General features: G+C 35.8%; 1 protein-coding gene across 9 annotated transcripts in view; it reads left to right on the forward strand.

Annotated features, from left to right (window-relative positions):
* Positions 1-17420, forward strand: part of NSRP1 (nuclear speckle splicing regulatory protein 1) — a 69660-nt gene that overhangs the window by 40034 nt on the left and 12206 nt on the right. For 4 of the 9 annotated variants that reach the window (XM_011525345.3, NM_032141.4, NM_001261467.2 and 1 more), the window contains one exon: positions 15693-15749. In XM_011525345.3, the coding sequence (XP_011523647.1) occupies positions 15693-15749 (57 nt within the window). Of the gene's footprint in view, positions 1-106; positions 6314-11253; positions 11366-12051; positions 12077-15692; positions 15750-17420 lie in introns of those variants that run through there. The other 5 variants (XM_047436916.1, XM_047436918.1, XM_047436917.1 and 2 more) reach the window with 3 other exon arrangements.

Genomic DNA, 17420 nt, shown 5'->3' on the forward strand with positions numbered 1-17420 from the left:
TCCACTGTGTAAATATGCCACATTTTCTTTGTCAATTCATATGTGATGGAGACTTAGGTTGATTCCATATTTTGGCTGTTGTGAGTAGTGCTGCAGTAAACATAAAAGTGCATGTATCCTTTTGATATACTGATTTTCTGTCCTTTGAATAAATACCCAGTAGTGATATTGCTGGATCTTACGGTAGTTCTGTGTTTAATTTTTTGAAAAATCTCCATACTATTTTCCATAATGGCTGTACTAAGTTACATTCCCACCTACAGTGTATGAGAGCTCCTTTTACTCTGCATCCTTGCCAGCATCTGTTAGTTTTTGTCTTTTTGATAATAGCTATTCTAACTGGGTAAGATGATATCATTGTGGTTTGGATTTGCATTTCCCTGATAATTAGTGATGTTGGGCATTTTTTTATATACCTGTTGGCTACTCATATGTATTTTGAGAAATCTCTATTGCCCACTTTTTTCCCCTTTTATTGATATATAATTTACATATTTATGGTGTACATGTGAGTGTTTGTTACATGCAAAGAATATGTAATGATCAAGTCAGGGTGATTGGGGTATCCATCACCTAGAATGTTTTATCATTTTTATATGTTGGTATCATTTCAAGCCCTCTCTTCTAATTACTTTGAAATGTACATATTATTATTGCTAAGTATGGTCACCTTAGTCTGCTATCAAACATTGGAACTTATTTCTTCTATCTAACTGTATGTTTGGGTACATAAGAAATAAGTTCCAGTGTTGGATAGCAGACTAGGGTGACTATACTTCTTATAGTCTTTGTCTCTCTCCCCTCTTTATCCCCTCTCCTCCTCCCCTTCCCAGTCTCTGTTATCTATTGTTCTATACTCTATGTCCATGAGATCAAGTTTTTTAGCTCCCACATATGAGTGAGGACATGCAATATTTGTCTTTCTATGCCTGGCCTATTTCACTTAAAATAATGATCTCCATTTCTATCCATGTTGCTGCAAATGACATTATTTCATTATGGCCAAATAGTATTCTATTGTTTAACACACTTTATCCGTTTATCTGTTGCTGGGCATTTAGGTTGATTCCATATCTTTGCTATTGTGAATAATACTGTGGTGAACATATGAGAGTGTCCTTTTGATACACTGATTTCTTCTTTGGATAGATACCCAATAGTGAGATTGCTGGGTCTTAATGGTAGTTCTAATTTTACTTTTTGAGAAATCTCCATACTGGTTTATTTACTAATTTACATTCCCACCAGCAGTGTATAAGAGTTCCCTTTTCTTACCAGCATCTGTTATTTCCTGTCTTTTTAATAATAGAGGTTCCAGCTGGGGTAAGATATCTTATTATGGTTTGGATTTGCATTTCACTGATGATTAGTGATTAGCATTTTTTCATATACCTGTTGGCCATTTGTATGTCTTTTGAGAAATGTCTATTTCATGTCCTTCACCCACTTTTTAATGGCATTTTTTTTTTTTTTTGCTATTGAGTTGTTTTGAGTTCCTTCTATATTCTGGATATTAGTCACTTGTCAGATGAATATTTTGTAAACGTTTTCTCTCATTCATCAGGTTGTCTCTTCTGCTGAGGGTTTTCTTTGCTGTACGGAAGTGTTTTAGTTTAATACAGTCCCATTTATCTATCTTTGTTTTTGTTTCCTGTGCTTTTGGGATCTTGGCCATAAACTCTTTGCCTCAACCAGTGTCCCTGGAGCATTTCTCCTGTGTTTTCTTCTAGTAGTTTTATAGTTTGGGGCCTTATCTTAAGTCTGTAATCCATTTTGTTTTGATTTTTTATATGGTGAGAGACAGGGGTTTAGTTTTATTCTTCTCCATGTGGATATTTAGTTCTCCTAGCACCATTTATTGAAGAGGGTATTCTTTCCCCAGTATACGTTCTTGACACCTTTGTTGAAAATCAGTTGGATATAAATATGTGGATTTATTTCTGGATTCTCTATTCTGTTCCATTTTGGTCTATGTGTCTGTTTTTATACTAATACTATGCTAGTTTGGTTATGATAGCCTTGTGGTATATTTTGAAGTCAGGTAGTGTGATGCCTCTAGCTGTTCTTTTTGCTCAGGTTTGCTTTGGTTATTCAGGCTCTTTGTAGTTTCATGCAAATTTTAGAATTGTTTGTTCTAGTTCTGTGAAAAATATTATTGGTATTTTGGTAGAGATTGCGTTGAATCTGTAGATTGCTTTTGGTAGAATGGTCATTTTCACCATATTAATTCTTCCGATCCATGAACATGGGATGTCTTTCCATTTTTTTGTGTCCTCTTTAATTTCTTTCATCAATGTTTTATAGTTTTCCTTGTAGAGGTCTTTCACCTTGGTAAAATTTATTCCTAGGGTTTTGGGTTTTGTTTTTAGTTTTGGAAATATGATTGCTTTCTTGATTTCTTTTTCCTCTAGTTTGTTGCTAGTATATTGAAAGTTATACTGATTTTTCATGTTGATTTTGTGTCTTGCAGCTTTACTGAATTTGTTCATTAGTTTTAAGAGGTTTTTTTTGTGTGTGTGTGTAGTCGTTTGGTTTTTCTAAATATAAGATCATGTCATCTGCAGAGAGGGACAGTTTGACTTCCTCTTTTCCAGTTTGGATGCTTTTAATTTCCTTCTCTTACCTGATTGCTTTGGCCAGGACTTCCAGTATTGTGTTGAATAAGAGTGGTGAAAGTGGGCATCCTTGTCTAGTTCCAGTTCTTAGAGGAAAAGCTTTCAGCTTTTCTCTGTTCAGTATGTTAGCTATGGGTTTGTCATATATGGCCTTTATTATGTTGAGGTATATTCTTTCTTTTTATTTTTATTTATTTGTTTATTTATTTTTTGAGATGAAGTCTCACTCTGTTGCCCAGGCTGGAATGCAGTGGCACGACCTCAACTCTTTGCAACCTCTGCCTGCTGGGTTCAAGTGACTCTCCTGCCTCAGCCTCCCAAGTAGCTGGGACTACAGGCATGCACCACCATGTCTGGCTAATGTTTTTTGTATTTTTAGTAGAGATGGCGTTTCACCATGTTGGCCAGGCTGGTCTCAGACTCCTGACCTCAAGTGATCTGCTCGCCTTGGCCTCCCAAAGTGCTGGGATTATATGTGTAAGCCATCGTGCCCGGCCAAGGTATGTTTTTTCTGTGCCTAGTTTGTTGAACATTTTTATCATGAAGGGATGTTGAGTTTTATTGAATGCTTTTTCTGCCCCAATTGAGATGATCATATGGTTTTTGTCTTTTATTATGTTGATGTGATATATCATATTTATTGATTTGCATATGGTAAATTATCTTTACAACTCAGGGATAAATCCCACTTGATTGTGGTATATTGTCCTTTTGATGTACTGTTGGATTTGGTTTGGTAGTATTTTGTTGAAGACTTTTGCATCTGTGTTCAACTATGGCCTGTAGTTTTTTTGTTTTGTTTTGTTTTGTTTTTTAATGTTGTGCCTTTGTCTGGTTTTGGTTTCAGGGCTTCACAGAATGAGTTAGGAAGAATTCCCTTCTCTTTTATTTTTTGGAATAGTTTGAGGAGAATTGGTATTCTTTGTAAGTTTGGTAGACTTTGGCAGTGAAGCCATCAGATTCTGAGCTTTTCTTTTTTAGGAGACTTTTTATTACTGATTCAATCTCATTACTCGTTGTTTGTTCAGGTTTTCTGTTTCTTCCTGATTCAATCTTGGTAGGTTTTATGTGTCCAAGAATTTGTCCATGTCCTTTAGGTTTTCCAGTTTGTTGGTGTATAGTTGTTTGTAGTAGTATCTGATGATCTTTTGTATTTCTGTAGTGTCAGTTGTAATGTCTCCTTTTTCATTTCTGCTTTTGTTTGAGTTCTTGGTTGGTCTAGAAACATAATTTTGTAAAATGGTTTTCTTGTTAAACACTTGAACCATCATTCTTGATCATCTGGTGTGTAGAAGACACTGTACTGGATACTACTGGTAGTAAGTAGAAGGCTGCATAAGACAGATCTGTGCTCTCAAGGAGATTTGTTATACATTATGAAAATGAATTTATAGGTAATTCAAGTTAAAACTAAAATATCTTCACTTCTGAGAGAAGCTAAAATTTCAGAAGCTGCTAAGGGGCTTTGTTAGGATTAGGGGCTTTTCTCATTGCGTAACCAGGAATAAAAGACAGCCTTACTTTGAGAAGACCATAAACGGGTGAATGGATAAACAATTTGTGCCATGTTTATACAATGGAAACACTACTTGGCAAGAAAGAACAGACTTGATACATGATGTGAATTAATCTCAAACTAATTATGCTGAAAGAAGTAGATAACCCCCCCATACAAAGTATATATGTTTCTGGGTTTTGGCTATTACAACTAAACTGGCTATAAACATTTGTATACAATTCTTTATGTGTACATAGGCTTTCATTTCTCTTAGGTAAATACCTGTGCATGGAATGGCTGGGTCGCTTAGGGTATCTGTTTAAATAGTCATTTTTCTAATTATTGTAAATGTCACTTCTTTCTTATACTAGGTTTCTATATATGCTTGTGTTCATTTTTGTCTCTTGTCTGTGGATCTGCTTTGCACTGTATTAGCACTATTATATATACTGTTTTAATTTATGTGGCTTTATAATATATCTAATGCATATTTTGGGAAAATTTTTACCCTGTTGCTTTCCTATGGAATTGTTTCATATAAACACATTTTTAGTTTATTTGCATATTCTTCAAAACCTAAATATTTGAATATTAAAGAAAAATGTGGAAAACAGAAAATTTTCCTTTTATGATGAGATACAGTATTGTAAGACAGTTAGATTATGAGAATCTTGTCCTGTGTATGGGATTTGAGTCATCAGTGCTGAACTGTTGAAATAAGACTTGTCAAAAATGATACATTCAGATCCTTTTGGATAGGAAGTATAATTTTTCTTTTGTTCATATTTAGAACCATTCTGAAAACACAGCCATGGATGAAATGATCTCTCTGTAACATTTTCTCTGTCACATTTTTATGTTGTAAGAGTATGTCTTTGCTTGCCAGTATACCTTGCCAGGGTTGAGTAATACCATTTTTAAAATATTTACCAACATGATAGATGATAAAAGTTAATATTTTTATTTTCACCTCTTTAGTTATTGCTAAGATTGAACATTTTTAATATAGTTAAGAGTCATGTATATTTTCTCTTTTCTAAATTTTCTCTTCATAGCCATGTCTTTTTTTTTTTTTTTGAGATGGAGTCTTGCTCTGTCACCCAGGCTGGAGTGCAGTGGCGCAGTCTCAGCTCACTACAACCTCCTCCATCTCCCAGGTTCAGGTGATTCTCCTGCCTCAGCCTCCCAAGTAGCTGGGACTACAGGCGCGTGCCACCATGCCCGGCTAATTTTTTATTTTTTTACTTTTAGTAGAGATGGGGTTTCGCTGTTTTAGCCAGGATTGTCTTGATCTCCCAACCTCATGATCCACCCGCCTTGGCCTCCCAAAGTGCTGGGATTACAGGCGTGAGCCACTGCGCCCAGCCAGCCATGTCTATTTTTTTCTGTTGTAGTTAGTGTTTGTCTTAGGTCTGAGCTTATATTACATAATGAAAATGTTAGGGTACTCATCACAGCCCTTAAACTTTGTACTTACAAGAGTTGTGAGAATGTGGACAAATAGAGATTGCTGAGTTGTAAGACTTTTAATAAATGATCTGTTGCTAAGTTTAAAAAAGTAAAAAAGAACAGGAAGTTCTCAGCACGACAGAAAATTTTAGCTGTGAGCCATTTGAAAGAAGGATTGGTTCTTGAACTGTTTTTGTTTAGCTAAGAGCCATTTTGGATAATTGGGTAGGTGCAACTTTTATTTAAGAAAGAAGCTCATATGTCCCATTGTGCTTTATTAGTTATGGAATAATTATTTCTACAAAAAGAAAAAATTCAGAACCCTTTACTAAATTTTTGTGTTAAAATAAATTTATTATTGAAGGAAGGTAATTTAATAATATAAATAATGGTCTAGTACCTATACTTTTTTCAATGTCATTAGACTATATTTTGTTTCCTGGTGAAGGAGTACCAATAATACAGACCTAATTCCCTTTTTTTTTTGAAATGGAGTCTCACTTTGTCATCCAGACTGGAGTGTAGTGGCACGATCTCAGCTCACTGCAACCTCCGCCTCCCGGGTTCAAGTGATTCTCCTGCCTCAGCCTCCTGAGTAGCTGGGATTACAGGCACGTGCCACCATGCCTGGCTAATTTTTTTTTTGTATTTTTAGTAGAGACGGGGCTTCATCAGGTTGGCCACGCTGATCTCAAACTCCTGAGCTCAAGTGATCCAGCCGCCTCAGCCTCCCAAAGCGCTGGGATTACAGGCATGTACCACCACATCCGGCTAATTTTGTGTGTGTGTGTGTGTGTGTGTGTGTGTGTGTGTGTGTGTGTGTGTGTGTGTGTGTGTTTTTAGTAGAGACGGGGTTTTACCATGTTAGCCAGCCTGGTCTCGAACTACTGAGCTCAAGCGATCCACCCTCCTCGGCCTCCCAGAGTGCTGGGATTACAGGCATGAGCCACTGTGCCTGACCCTAATTCTTTTCTGATGGTTACTACTGCCCAGGAGGTAATCGATTTAAGCTTGTATAGTGATGCAACAAAGGTACATAGTCATGTATTTTCTCTTCGATTTATCTGAGCTAACGGTAAAGATTTTTTATTTTTTTGTATGTCTCCCTTTTAGGTCATATCTGACTGCTATTCAAAATGAAGCAAATATTAGATTGATTAAATAATTTTTATTCTCTACACAGAACAATGAAGGGAGAAAAAAACTAAGAAATCTAGTTGCAATGTTTTTCTTAATTCTGCAGTTTATGGTGCCTATACTTTGACCACTTTTTTTTTTTTTTTTTTTTTTGAGATAGTCTCCCTCTGTCACCCAGGCTAGAGTGCAGTGGCACGATCTCAGCTCACTGCAACCTCCACCTCCTGGGTGCAAGCAATTCTCTTGCCTCAGCCTCCCCGAGTAGCTGGGACTACAGGCGCGCGCCACCATGCCCAACTAATTTTTTTTGTATTTTTAGTAGAGGCGAGGTTTTACCACGTTGGCAAGGCTGGTCTTGAACTCTTGACCTCAGGTGATCTGCCCTCCTCGACCTCCCAAAGTGCTGGGATTACAGGCATGAGCCACCGTACCCGGCCAATGACCACATTTTTACCCCTTATAATGTGTATGTGTGTGTGTGCGTGTGTGCGAAGTATTGTTTTATGTTATTTGTGATTGTAAAATAGACCAGTCACTTTCTTCCCTTTTTTGTGGGTTCCTTTCTTATTTGGAATTAAAGCTAACTGGAACCTACTAACTCTTAAGACATAAATTTAAATGTTGACCAAATATGGCTGCTTTCCTACTAGATTATAATCTTTTTGTAGCACCTAGCCTAAGTGCTGTACACATATTAGGCTGTCAGCATGTTTACTGAATTAAGTTAAAACATTTGGAAGGAGCTACTGCTTCAGGTTTTTGAAAAGGTATTTTCCTGAGATTTTGATAAAGAACCTATCTTGAAATATTAGTGTGTTTTTTGTACTTTTAGAACAGTTCTAATGTTTGCATTTGAACCTATTTGTTTATAAGTTGATTTTTTTTCCTTCGAGATAAAGTGCCTTATAGGAAGTAAATTTTGTCTCCCTAAATTTAAAACTAACGATTTTATTAGAAGGCACCATTGGCTGAGCATGGTGGCTTATGCCTATAATCCCAGCACTTTAGGAGGCAAAGGCGGGAGGATTGCTTGAGCCCAGGGGTTTGAGACCAGCCTGGGCAACAAAGCAAGACCCTGTCTCTACAAAAAAATAAAAAAATTAGCTGGATGTGGTGACACACATCTGTAGTTCCAGCTACTCCAGATGCTGAGGCAGGAGGATTGCTTGAGCCCGGGAGGTCGAGGCTGCAGTGTGCTGTCTTCATGTCACTGCGCTCCAGCCTGGACAACAGAGCAAGACCCTGTCTCAAAAAAAAAGAGAAAAGAAGCCAGTTTTAAGGAATATTCTCCTGTGTTACACTGCAAACTGGTCCTCAGGCATAGAATTAAAATAATTGTCTACCTACTAATTTTGAAATGAGTCAATGACTTTATTGTGTGGTTTGGTCACATTCAGCCTTAATCTTTTTTTAAACAGCTGTTTTTCCCTAGATAACTTGTAAGCTAATATATTTTGTGGCAAGAACGAAATGTTTTTGCGATATTTATACTAAGCAAAATACAAAATACCCTTGAAAGTAATGCTGGTAGAAAAGAGCCAATCTCAAAACGATATACTGCATAATTCAATTTATTTAACATTCATCAAACACAGAGATAATGGTTGCCAGGGATTAGAGATGGAGGAGGAAGGATGAGTATGGCTTATAAAGGAGTAGTGCAAGAAGTATTGTGGTGACTAGTACAATTAAGTATCTTGATTACGGTGATAGTTACTTGAAGCTCTGTGTTATAAAATGGCATAGGACTATGCACATACATGCACAGATGTGTATGTGTAAAAATGGTGAAATCTGAATAAGCAGTGTGGGTGTACCAGTGTCAGTTCCCTGGTGTTGATATTGTACTCTATGCAACTTACTAACATTGGGAGAGGTTAGGTAAAGGGTACACAGTACTTAACTGTACATTTCTTTGAAGTTTAAAAATACGCTTTTTAAAACAAGCACTTCCCCTTCTCACCCCAAACCAGGACAATTATTAGAGACAAACGTCTGTTCATTTGGTGTGTCCTTGTATCTTGCCATTTGATTATAGCAGCACAGCAGAGGATACCCTCAAAGGAGAATACTCCCTAGTCTACTCATGTTTTGGGGGCAGTGTATTTTTGTTTATGAATTAGTTCCTACTAAAGCCACTATCAGTTCTAGAAAACCCATTTCTAGTTACGCTATAGCTCCCATGGCTAATTAAGGATTCAAATGTATGCATCCTCCATTTTCCTGTTTATGGACATACTGAATATAAAACCTTAAAGAATCAACACAAAAGAAAACATATACAGCCTTTTAAATATTCAGCAGAATAGATTTTTCTAATTCAGTGGATGGAAATATATTAATGTCACTTCAAATAAATACCAACCTTACATTTTATTAAGCACACTGATAAATATACTATAAAGAGGAATATTGTTTGCATGCTTTTCTGGTGAATAATCCAAGAAAAAAAAAAGTACAGCTACTGTGTTCTCATAACTTAGTTTTGATTTGTTTAAATATAAGCATTTCTTCAGCCATATATTTTTAAACAGGAACATGATAATAACAAAAATGGTAGCTAACCTTTGTGAGGTAGGTACTAATATATAGAGGAGGAAACTGAAACAGGAAGAAATTAACATACCTAGAATAACAAGCTAGCAAGAGAGAGAACAGTTGTAGACTGTTTCTGAGTCTACACTTGTGAACGTTATTTTGTAAGTTCTCCTCATGCTGTACAGTATAGGAACACTGAAGTTAGAGATTAATAATCTTTGCAGTTATTATATAAGTTTTGTTTTATTCACAGGGCACTTATGAAATCTATTTTTTCTCTTGCTGAGTTCAATAAGATCAACCCTTCCCTGATTTATGGCAAGAGGATCTGCTTTTGTGATATTTACCTTCTTGAGTATCCTTTCTTTTTATGAAAACCAGACTAAATTAAAAGTTCTCTTAAAATTTGTGTTAGTATTTGAAAAAATTTTATACAAGTTTATGGGATACCTGTGAGATTTTGTTATATGAATGCAATGCTTAGTGATCAAGTCAGTCAGCAATTAGTGTCTGTTACCCAAGTACAATACGTTTTTGTTAAGGGTAGTCACCCTGGCCAGGTGCAGTGGCTCATGCCTATAATCCTAGCACTTTGGGAGGCCGAGGTAGGCAGATCACTTGAGGCCAGGAGTTCGAGACCAGCCTAGCCATCATGGCAGAACCCCATCTCTACTAAAAATACAAAAAAAATTAGCCACGCATGGTGGCGCACACTTGTAATCCCAGCTACTCGGGAGGCTGAGGCAGGAGAATCGCTTGAACCCGGGAGGCAGAGGTTTCAGTGAGCTGAAATCACACCACTGCACTCCAACCTGGGCAGCAGAGCAAGACTCCATCTCAAACAAACAAAAAGGATAGTCACCTTACTCTTCTGTCAAACACTGAATATATTCCTTCTATCTTACTGTATGTTTGTACCCTTTAACCAGCTTCTCTTTATCCTCCCCATTTCCCTCACTTACCCTTCCCAGTCTGTTATCTACCTTTTCACTCTACCTCCATGTGATCAAAGTTTTTATTTTAGCTCCCACATGGAAGTGAGAACATACGATATTTATCTTTTTGTGTGTGGCTTATTTTACTTAAGGTAATGACCTCCAGTTCCTTCCATGTTGCTGTAAATGATACGATTTCATTCTTTTTATGGCCAAATACTATTCTGTTGTGTATGTATACTGTATTAGTATTTTAAGGATACCACTAAAAACGTAAAAAGACTTGACCTTTAAAAACATAAGATCTGGCCGGGCACGGTGGCTCACATCTGTAATCCCAGCACTTTGGGAGGCCAAGGCAGGTGGATCATGAGGTCAGGAGTTCGAGACCAGCCTGACCAACATGATGAAACCTTGTCTCTACTAAAAATACAAAAATTAGCTGGGCATGGTGGTGTGCGCCTGTATTCCCAGCTACTCAGGAGGCTGAGGCAGGAGAATCTCTTGAACCCGGGAGGCGGAGGTTGCAGTGAGCCGAGATCGCACCACTGCACTCCAGTCTGGGCAACAGAGTGAGACTCTGTCTTAAAAAAAAAAATAAGATCTTACTGATCTGCTTTTAATTGTAGTAGTTTTTTTTCTCACACATAAATATATGTATTTAAGATATTTGTTAAAAAGAAAAATATTTTCCCATTCATGATATGACTACAATGTATCTGAAGGAATCTGTTTTTCATTGATACTATGGAGTAGATGTAGAAACAGTACTTAAAATATCAAATACTAAATAGACTCGTTTTTCCTTTAATGTTAATAACATTCTGTGTTTTCATTTTATGTGACTTTCCACTCTAATGGTCAACAGTACATGTACAGTTATAATAATACTTATGTTACTCTAGTAGATGGAATCATACCTCAGCTTTACGTTTTCAGAGGAATCATCTCAGTTGGTGAATTTCCAATAATAGCAACATAGGACACCGTTCAATATTATAAAGTTTAAATCAGATTTATGCTATAGGCTATTTGTACCTTTCCATGCCTTTTAATTCTGTGTTGTCTTGAGACATTTCAGTGTATATCCAGTACTGGTGTTTAAAGGAAAGTTATTAAAGTTTGGAATAAGAGTACCTGAATTGGAATCTTGCTTTGCCATTCACCAGCTGTTTGTCCTTAAATTCTCTCAGGTAATCTGTAGCCTTAACAATTAAAGGTGACTTCTATATGTCATTTAGCTTACTTATCCATTATTTCTGAAGTTGTTAGGATTATTGTAACTACTGTTGTTGTTACTATTTTTAGATTAATATATTTCCTTTCTGGATTTCCATTTAAAATATATTTAAAGAATCATAAAAATTAAACACAAGCAACATCCTTTTATATTCTGCACAGTTCTTAGCAGAATTATAGATTCAAAAAAGACACACAGAATAGGCCACAATACATGTGCCAATTTTTGTTCTCAATCTTAAAATTACATAGTATAATTATTATGGTTATCTGAAAACAATCACGTTGTGCACATGTACCCTAAAACTTAAAGTATAATAATAATAATAATAGTAATAATAATAATAATAAATAAAATAAAATAAGTATCTGCTCTTTTATGAGGAAATTGTTTTTAATTGTAGTAGTTATTTTTCAGTCTGATCTGAATCTAGATGAGTTTTTTATGTTATATAGAAGATCATTTTATATATTTTTATATAGGGTTACTATTACAGAAAAAAGTAAAAGTTTTACTGCTACTCTTTTAAGCTTTTTGTATTTGTTTAAACAGGTTTTTGGCATTTAATCGTCATCCTTAGTGGTAATTGTTAAAGTACCTTTATTTAGAAAATTGAGAATCAAATGACCTTCAAAAGATCATCAGTTTTTCCTGACTTTTTCAGGTTAGGTTCAGAGTTATCCACTGATGCTGTTGAATTCTAGGGATATAAGTTTGTGAATAGAATATGTAAAACTATTGCACTCCTTCCATTATGTTACCTTCCTGTGTAAGTAGTAACAGCTTGTTTTTTCAACGGTCATACTTCATTCTTCTAAACAGCTATGAACATAGAAACAAAATCTTTTGAGGTGTCTCAAAATAGATATAGTCTACATTGGAAAGGCCTTTCTCAGTCTGCTTATTCTATATTTTATAAAAGTCTGGAAAGGTATAGCCTTGTGTTTTTCTTTCCCAAGTTTTCTTTTTAAAAGTTATTTTATTTCTCTGAGAATCTTCCATAACAACCAAGTTACATAGTTTAGATTGAAGCATCCAGTTTGAAAGGCAGCAGGTAAACTCTGACAGATTAAAGGTGACAGACTGAAGGAGGAGATAGGAAAAAATAAAAGCAAGTAAAAGAGGAAAACATCCAGCATTTGGAGATGTAATCTTCTCAGTCAGTCCTGAAGACATCATTAACTCAGTGGTCAAGAAAAATATTTTTCATTCATACTAATCAGAAATACAGACATGAAAATACATTGGAAATATTAACTATTACTTTCAGTTTTGGTATTTAAAATTGATATTCTAGTGAATGAAAGTTTCATATTACATGTAACAGAAATTTGGATTAAATCAGTAATACATGTAATACACAACTAGTATACTTAGCATAGCACCTAGCTCAATAAATGTTAGCAGCTATTACTGTTTTTGTTATCAACATCTTTCCCCCAGTTAGTCAGTTTACCATCACCTAAAATGTCTTTAGTTCTTTGCATACTTATTTAATTTTTTAAATATGTATTATATGACCTTTGTGTATTAAATTGATTTGTCTGTGGTCATAGAGAACTATTTTGTTCTGGTTATTACCATGAAAAAAAAAAAGCACCAATTGCTGGTACAATACAACTGAAGATAGCAAGTGTTAATAGGCTGGACTACTATAATTCTAGAGCTGAGGATTTTGTGTACATATATATATTTAAAACTTACACATATGTTTTTATGTATATTTAAGACTTCGTTTTTTTTTAAACAGCAGTTTTAGACTGACAGCAAAATTGAGAGGGACAGAGATAACCCATGTAGCCCTTGCCCCCACAAATGAAAGAATTAAAAATGCATCAGTAGCTTTATTTTGGCTTTTTTAAAAAGATGTAATTCACATAGCATAAAATTCATGCTTTTATACAATTCAGTGTCAGTATATTTGCAAATCCTGATACTTGAAAAAAATTAATTGTGCATATTAAGGTATATAACAATTATGGGATATAGATGGTAAAAAGTTTACTACAGTAAAGCAAATTAACATGTCCATTATCTTACATACTTTTTTTGTTTCTGTGGCAAGAGCAGCTACAATTTACTCATTTAGCATGAATACCATATATAGTACAATTTTATTACCTATTGTCCTCATGTGGTACATTAGATCTCTAGACTTGTTCATCTTGTTACATACCTACCTCTTCCCATTTCCTCTCACCCCACCCCTAGTAACCATTGTTTTTAAGTTCTTTATCTCTGTGAGAGATTCCACTTACAAATGATGTCAGGTACTATTTTTCTTTTTGTGTCTGGCTTACCATGTAGCATAATGTCCTCCAGGCCCATTCATATTGTGGCAAATGGCAAGATCTCCTTTTTAAAGGCTGAATAATACTCCATCATACATATTTACCACAGTTTCTTTATCCATTCATTTGTCAATGAACAGGTAGATTGTTTCCATACCTGGCTATTGCAAATAATGCTGCAATGAACATGGGAGTGAAGCTACCTTTACCAGGTGGTGATTTCATTTCCTTTGGCTATATGCCAAGAGGGATTGCTAGGCTGTATGGTAGTTCTATTTTTAATTTGTTTATAAACCTCCATACTGTTTTCCATATTGACTGTACCAGCCTACATCTGCACCAGCAGTATATAAGAATTCCCTTTTCTGGCACCCATGCTAACCTTTATTATTTTTTGACTTTTTTAGAATAGCCATTCTAACAGGTGTGAGGTGTTATCTCTTAGTGGTTCTGATTTACATTTCCCTGATGATTAAAGCCTGTACTATTAAGGAAACATATTTTTCTTAAGTATTTTTTTTTCTTAGCTGTATGTAATCTTTAGTTTTGCCCATGTGATGACTACTTCCTATCTTCCTCTTGCATTCTTTTACATTTTTATTCTCTTTGATTCTGGTCTAATGTCATATCTCTTTTGGAAAGGGATTCTTGATTCCTCATATACATTTAGTTGCCTTCTCTGCCCTGGGCTCCCACAGTGCTTTGTTTATTCCTTTATTATATTGCTTATCACATTTATATTGTAATTGTCTTTTTTTTTTTTTTTTTTTTGAGACAGAGCCTGGTTCTGTTGCCCAGGCTGGAGTGCAGTGGCACAATTTTGGCTCACTGCAACATCTGCCTCCCAGGTGCAAGTGATTCTCATGTCTCAGCCTTTCAAGTAGCTGGGATTACAGCTGTGCTCCAACACTCCCGGCTCATCTTTGTATTTTCAGTAGAGACGGGGTTTCACCATGTTGGCCAGGCTGGTCTCAAAACTCCTGGCCTCAAGTGATCTGCCTGCCTCAGCCTCCCAAAGTGCTGGGATTACAGGCATGAGCCACCGCGCCTGGCCATATATTGTGATTATTTCTTTAATTGTCTTCCCTTTCAGACTGTTTATCTGAAAAACAAGATTTTGTTTCAGTCTCTGGCCTAAGACTGAGACTGTTCTTGCTTTTTCACTATCCTCAGGACCTAAACATGCTTTTTGGTACATAGTTTTTGATTATTGCCACGAATAGTTGCTGCTGTCCCTAAGCCTTAAACATAAACCGAGAGCTTGATACACTATATTGAGTGGTGAATATTAAAATAGTTTGCTTTTTGTAAGCTGGGAATCATACCATTTTAGTGTTGGAAGGTACCTGAAATATTATCTAGACCAGTCTTTCCCCATTTCTCACACACACACACACACACACACACACACACACACACACTCCCTCTCTCTCTCTCTCTCTCTCTCTCTCTCTCTCTCTCTCACATGTTCACATGAAGCAAATTGAAATCTGTAAAGGTTGAATGACAGTAGTGAATTTAGGACTAAAAATTCATGTTTACTCATCTTTTCCTGTACCATTCTATTTTCTCTGATACCTTATAATCTATTCTGAGGATTTACAATGCAAATTCATTTATTTCCTGAAGTTTAGGGAAAAAACCCTGAAAATGTTAGTTTAATTTGTATTATTATCTTTTTACTTTTAACTATAAGTAAGGCACCATTGCCAACCAGAAAACAGGTTGAGCATCCCAAATCTGAAAATCAAAAATCCTAAATGTTCTAAAATCTAAAACTTTTTTGAGCACTAATGTGAAGCTCAAATGAAATGCTCATTGGAGCATCAGATATCAGATCTTCAGATTTGGGGTGCTGAACCAGTAAGTATTTTAAAAATCTGAAATACAAAACACTTCTGGTCCCATGTATTTTAGATAGGGGACGCTCGTACTGGAAAAGAAATTTTAAATTTGTTTAAAAAGTGACAATATATTTCTGTTTTACAGACCTCTGTGAGTGAAAGCCTTCAGAGGGAAGCTGCTAAGAAGCAGGCCATGAAACAGGTAAGGTAGAAGACTGGGATAAGTGCATTCAGTGAAGCATTCCGGCTCATTTTTAAGCATCAGTTTTGGTATCTAGGTGCTGAGACTAAAACAGAATAGATTTAAGGAAAAACACAATGAAGAATTAGCTCCTTATTGCTGTGCTATAGATTAAACCAGTTCTGCTTGTAGATGACTCATTAGTCTAATAATGGATTGTTTGGCCTGTTGTTATTATTAAATTCTTGCTAGTGAGCTTACTTGCAGGGAAAAAAAAAACCTTTTCACAACCAAAATGGTTTCACAAACTTATAATTATTTGAAACTCATCTGCCCAGAAAGAAGAATATCAGAGATAGATACAAATATATAGATATATAGATATATAGATTTTTTTTTTTTTTGAGATTGAGTCTTGCTCTGTTGCCCAGGCTGGAGTGCCGTGGTGCACTCTCGGCTCACTGCAGTCTCCATCTCCTGGGTTCAGGCAATTCTCCTGCTTCAGCCTCCCGAGTAGCTGGGACTAAAGGCGCATGCCACCATGCCCAGCTAATTTTTATATTTTTAGTAGAGACGGGGTTTCACCGTGTTGGTCAGGCTGGTCTGGAACCCGTGACCTCAGGTGATCCGCCAACCTCAGCCTCCTGAAGTGCTGGGATTACAGGCGTGAGCCACCGTGCGCGGCCTGATAATTTTTAAAAGACGTGCTTGTTTCCAAGTGCTTTTTACATACATTTATCTTTTACAGTTCTCACAAACTTGCCCATAGTACTGATTAAGAAATCTGAAACTCAAAAAGGATAAAGTGCTCCTTAAGATCATACTATTAATTATCGAACTAGGCCTGAAGGTTTACTAATTTTTCTGCTATTGTAGACTAGTATATCTTAGATTTTCTGCTATAGAATGTAATGAAATTAAACAATAGCGAGGTGCCTTTGTTTTTCATTTTGAATTATTTATCCTCTCCATTAGCTTTATAATTTTTGGTCCTATTTCCTCTTTGTCTAACTGGAAACCTGCATAAAGATAAGTTTATTAAGCACTTTCTATGTGCCAGGCATCATGACAACTATGTTTTAAGAATGATCTTTAATTCTTACAATAATTCTATGAGATAGATGCTTTTATAATCCTTATTTTATAGTTAAGGAAATGAAGGCAAGAAGAATTTATGTGACTTGCATGAGACCACATAGTTAATAAATGGTAGGGCTGTGTTCAAAACTAGACAGTGAAACCTCAGAACCTAGGCTTTTAACCACTGTGTTTCACACCCTCCCGGACGAATTGGCACAGAAGGATATATTTAGTCATTTTAAGATAATGTCAGAGTTTCACAGTGAAATATAATGTGTAACTCAGCAGCCTCAGAATGATTTAATATACACATAAAACATAAAAAACAGTGATTATTTAACATAAATACTGGAGTGCTTTGAGTCAGAATTTTGGAGATACCATTAAGTTCAACTTCCTCACTATATAAATGGGAGACTTAGTTCTGGAGAGTTGGGTAACTTATCCAAGGTAATACAGGTATCTTGTTTTCCAGGATTATTTTAACATTTTTGTGCTGCCTTTTTTTCTTCACTTAAAGCATGAATCCCAAATCTGATTTTATTCTTAACTCTGTCTTGTTCAAGCCACTTTATCTGTTTAGTGGGACTTTTTGTAGTTTGCTTGGAAATT

The sequence above is a fragment of the Homo sapiens genome, chromosome 17 (genome assembly GCF_000001405.40).
Source record: "Homo sapiens chromosome 17, GRCh38.p14 Primary Assembly".
Classification (NCBI taxonomy): domain Eukaryota; kingdom Metazoa; phylum Chordata; class Mammalia; order Primates; family Hominidae; genus Homo; species Homo sapiens.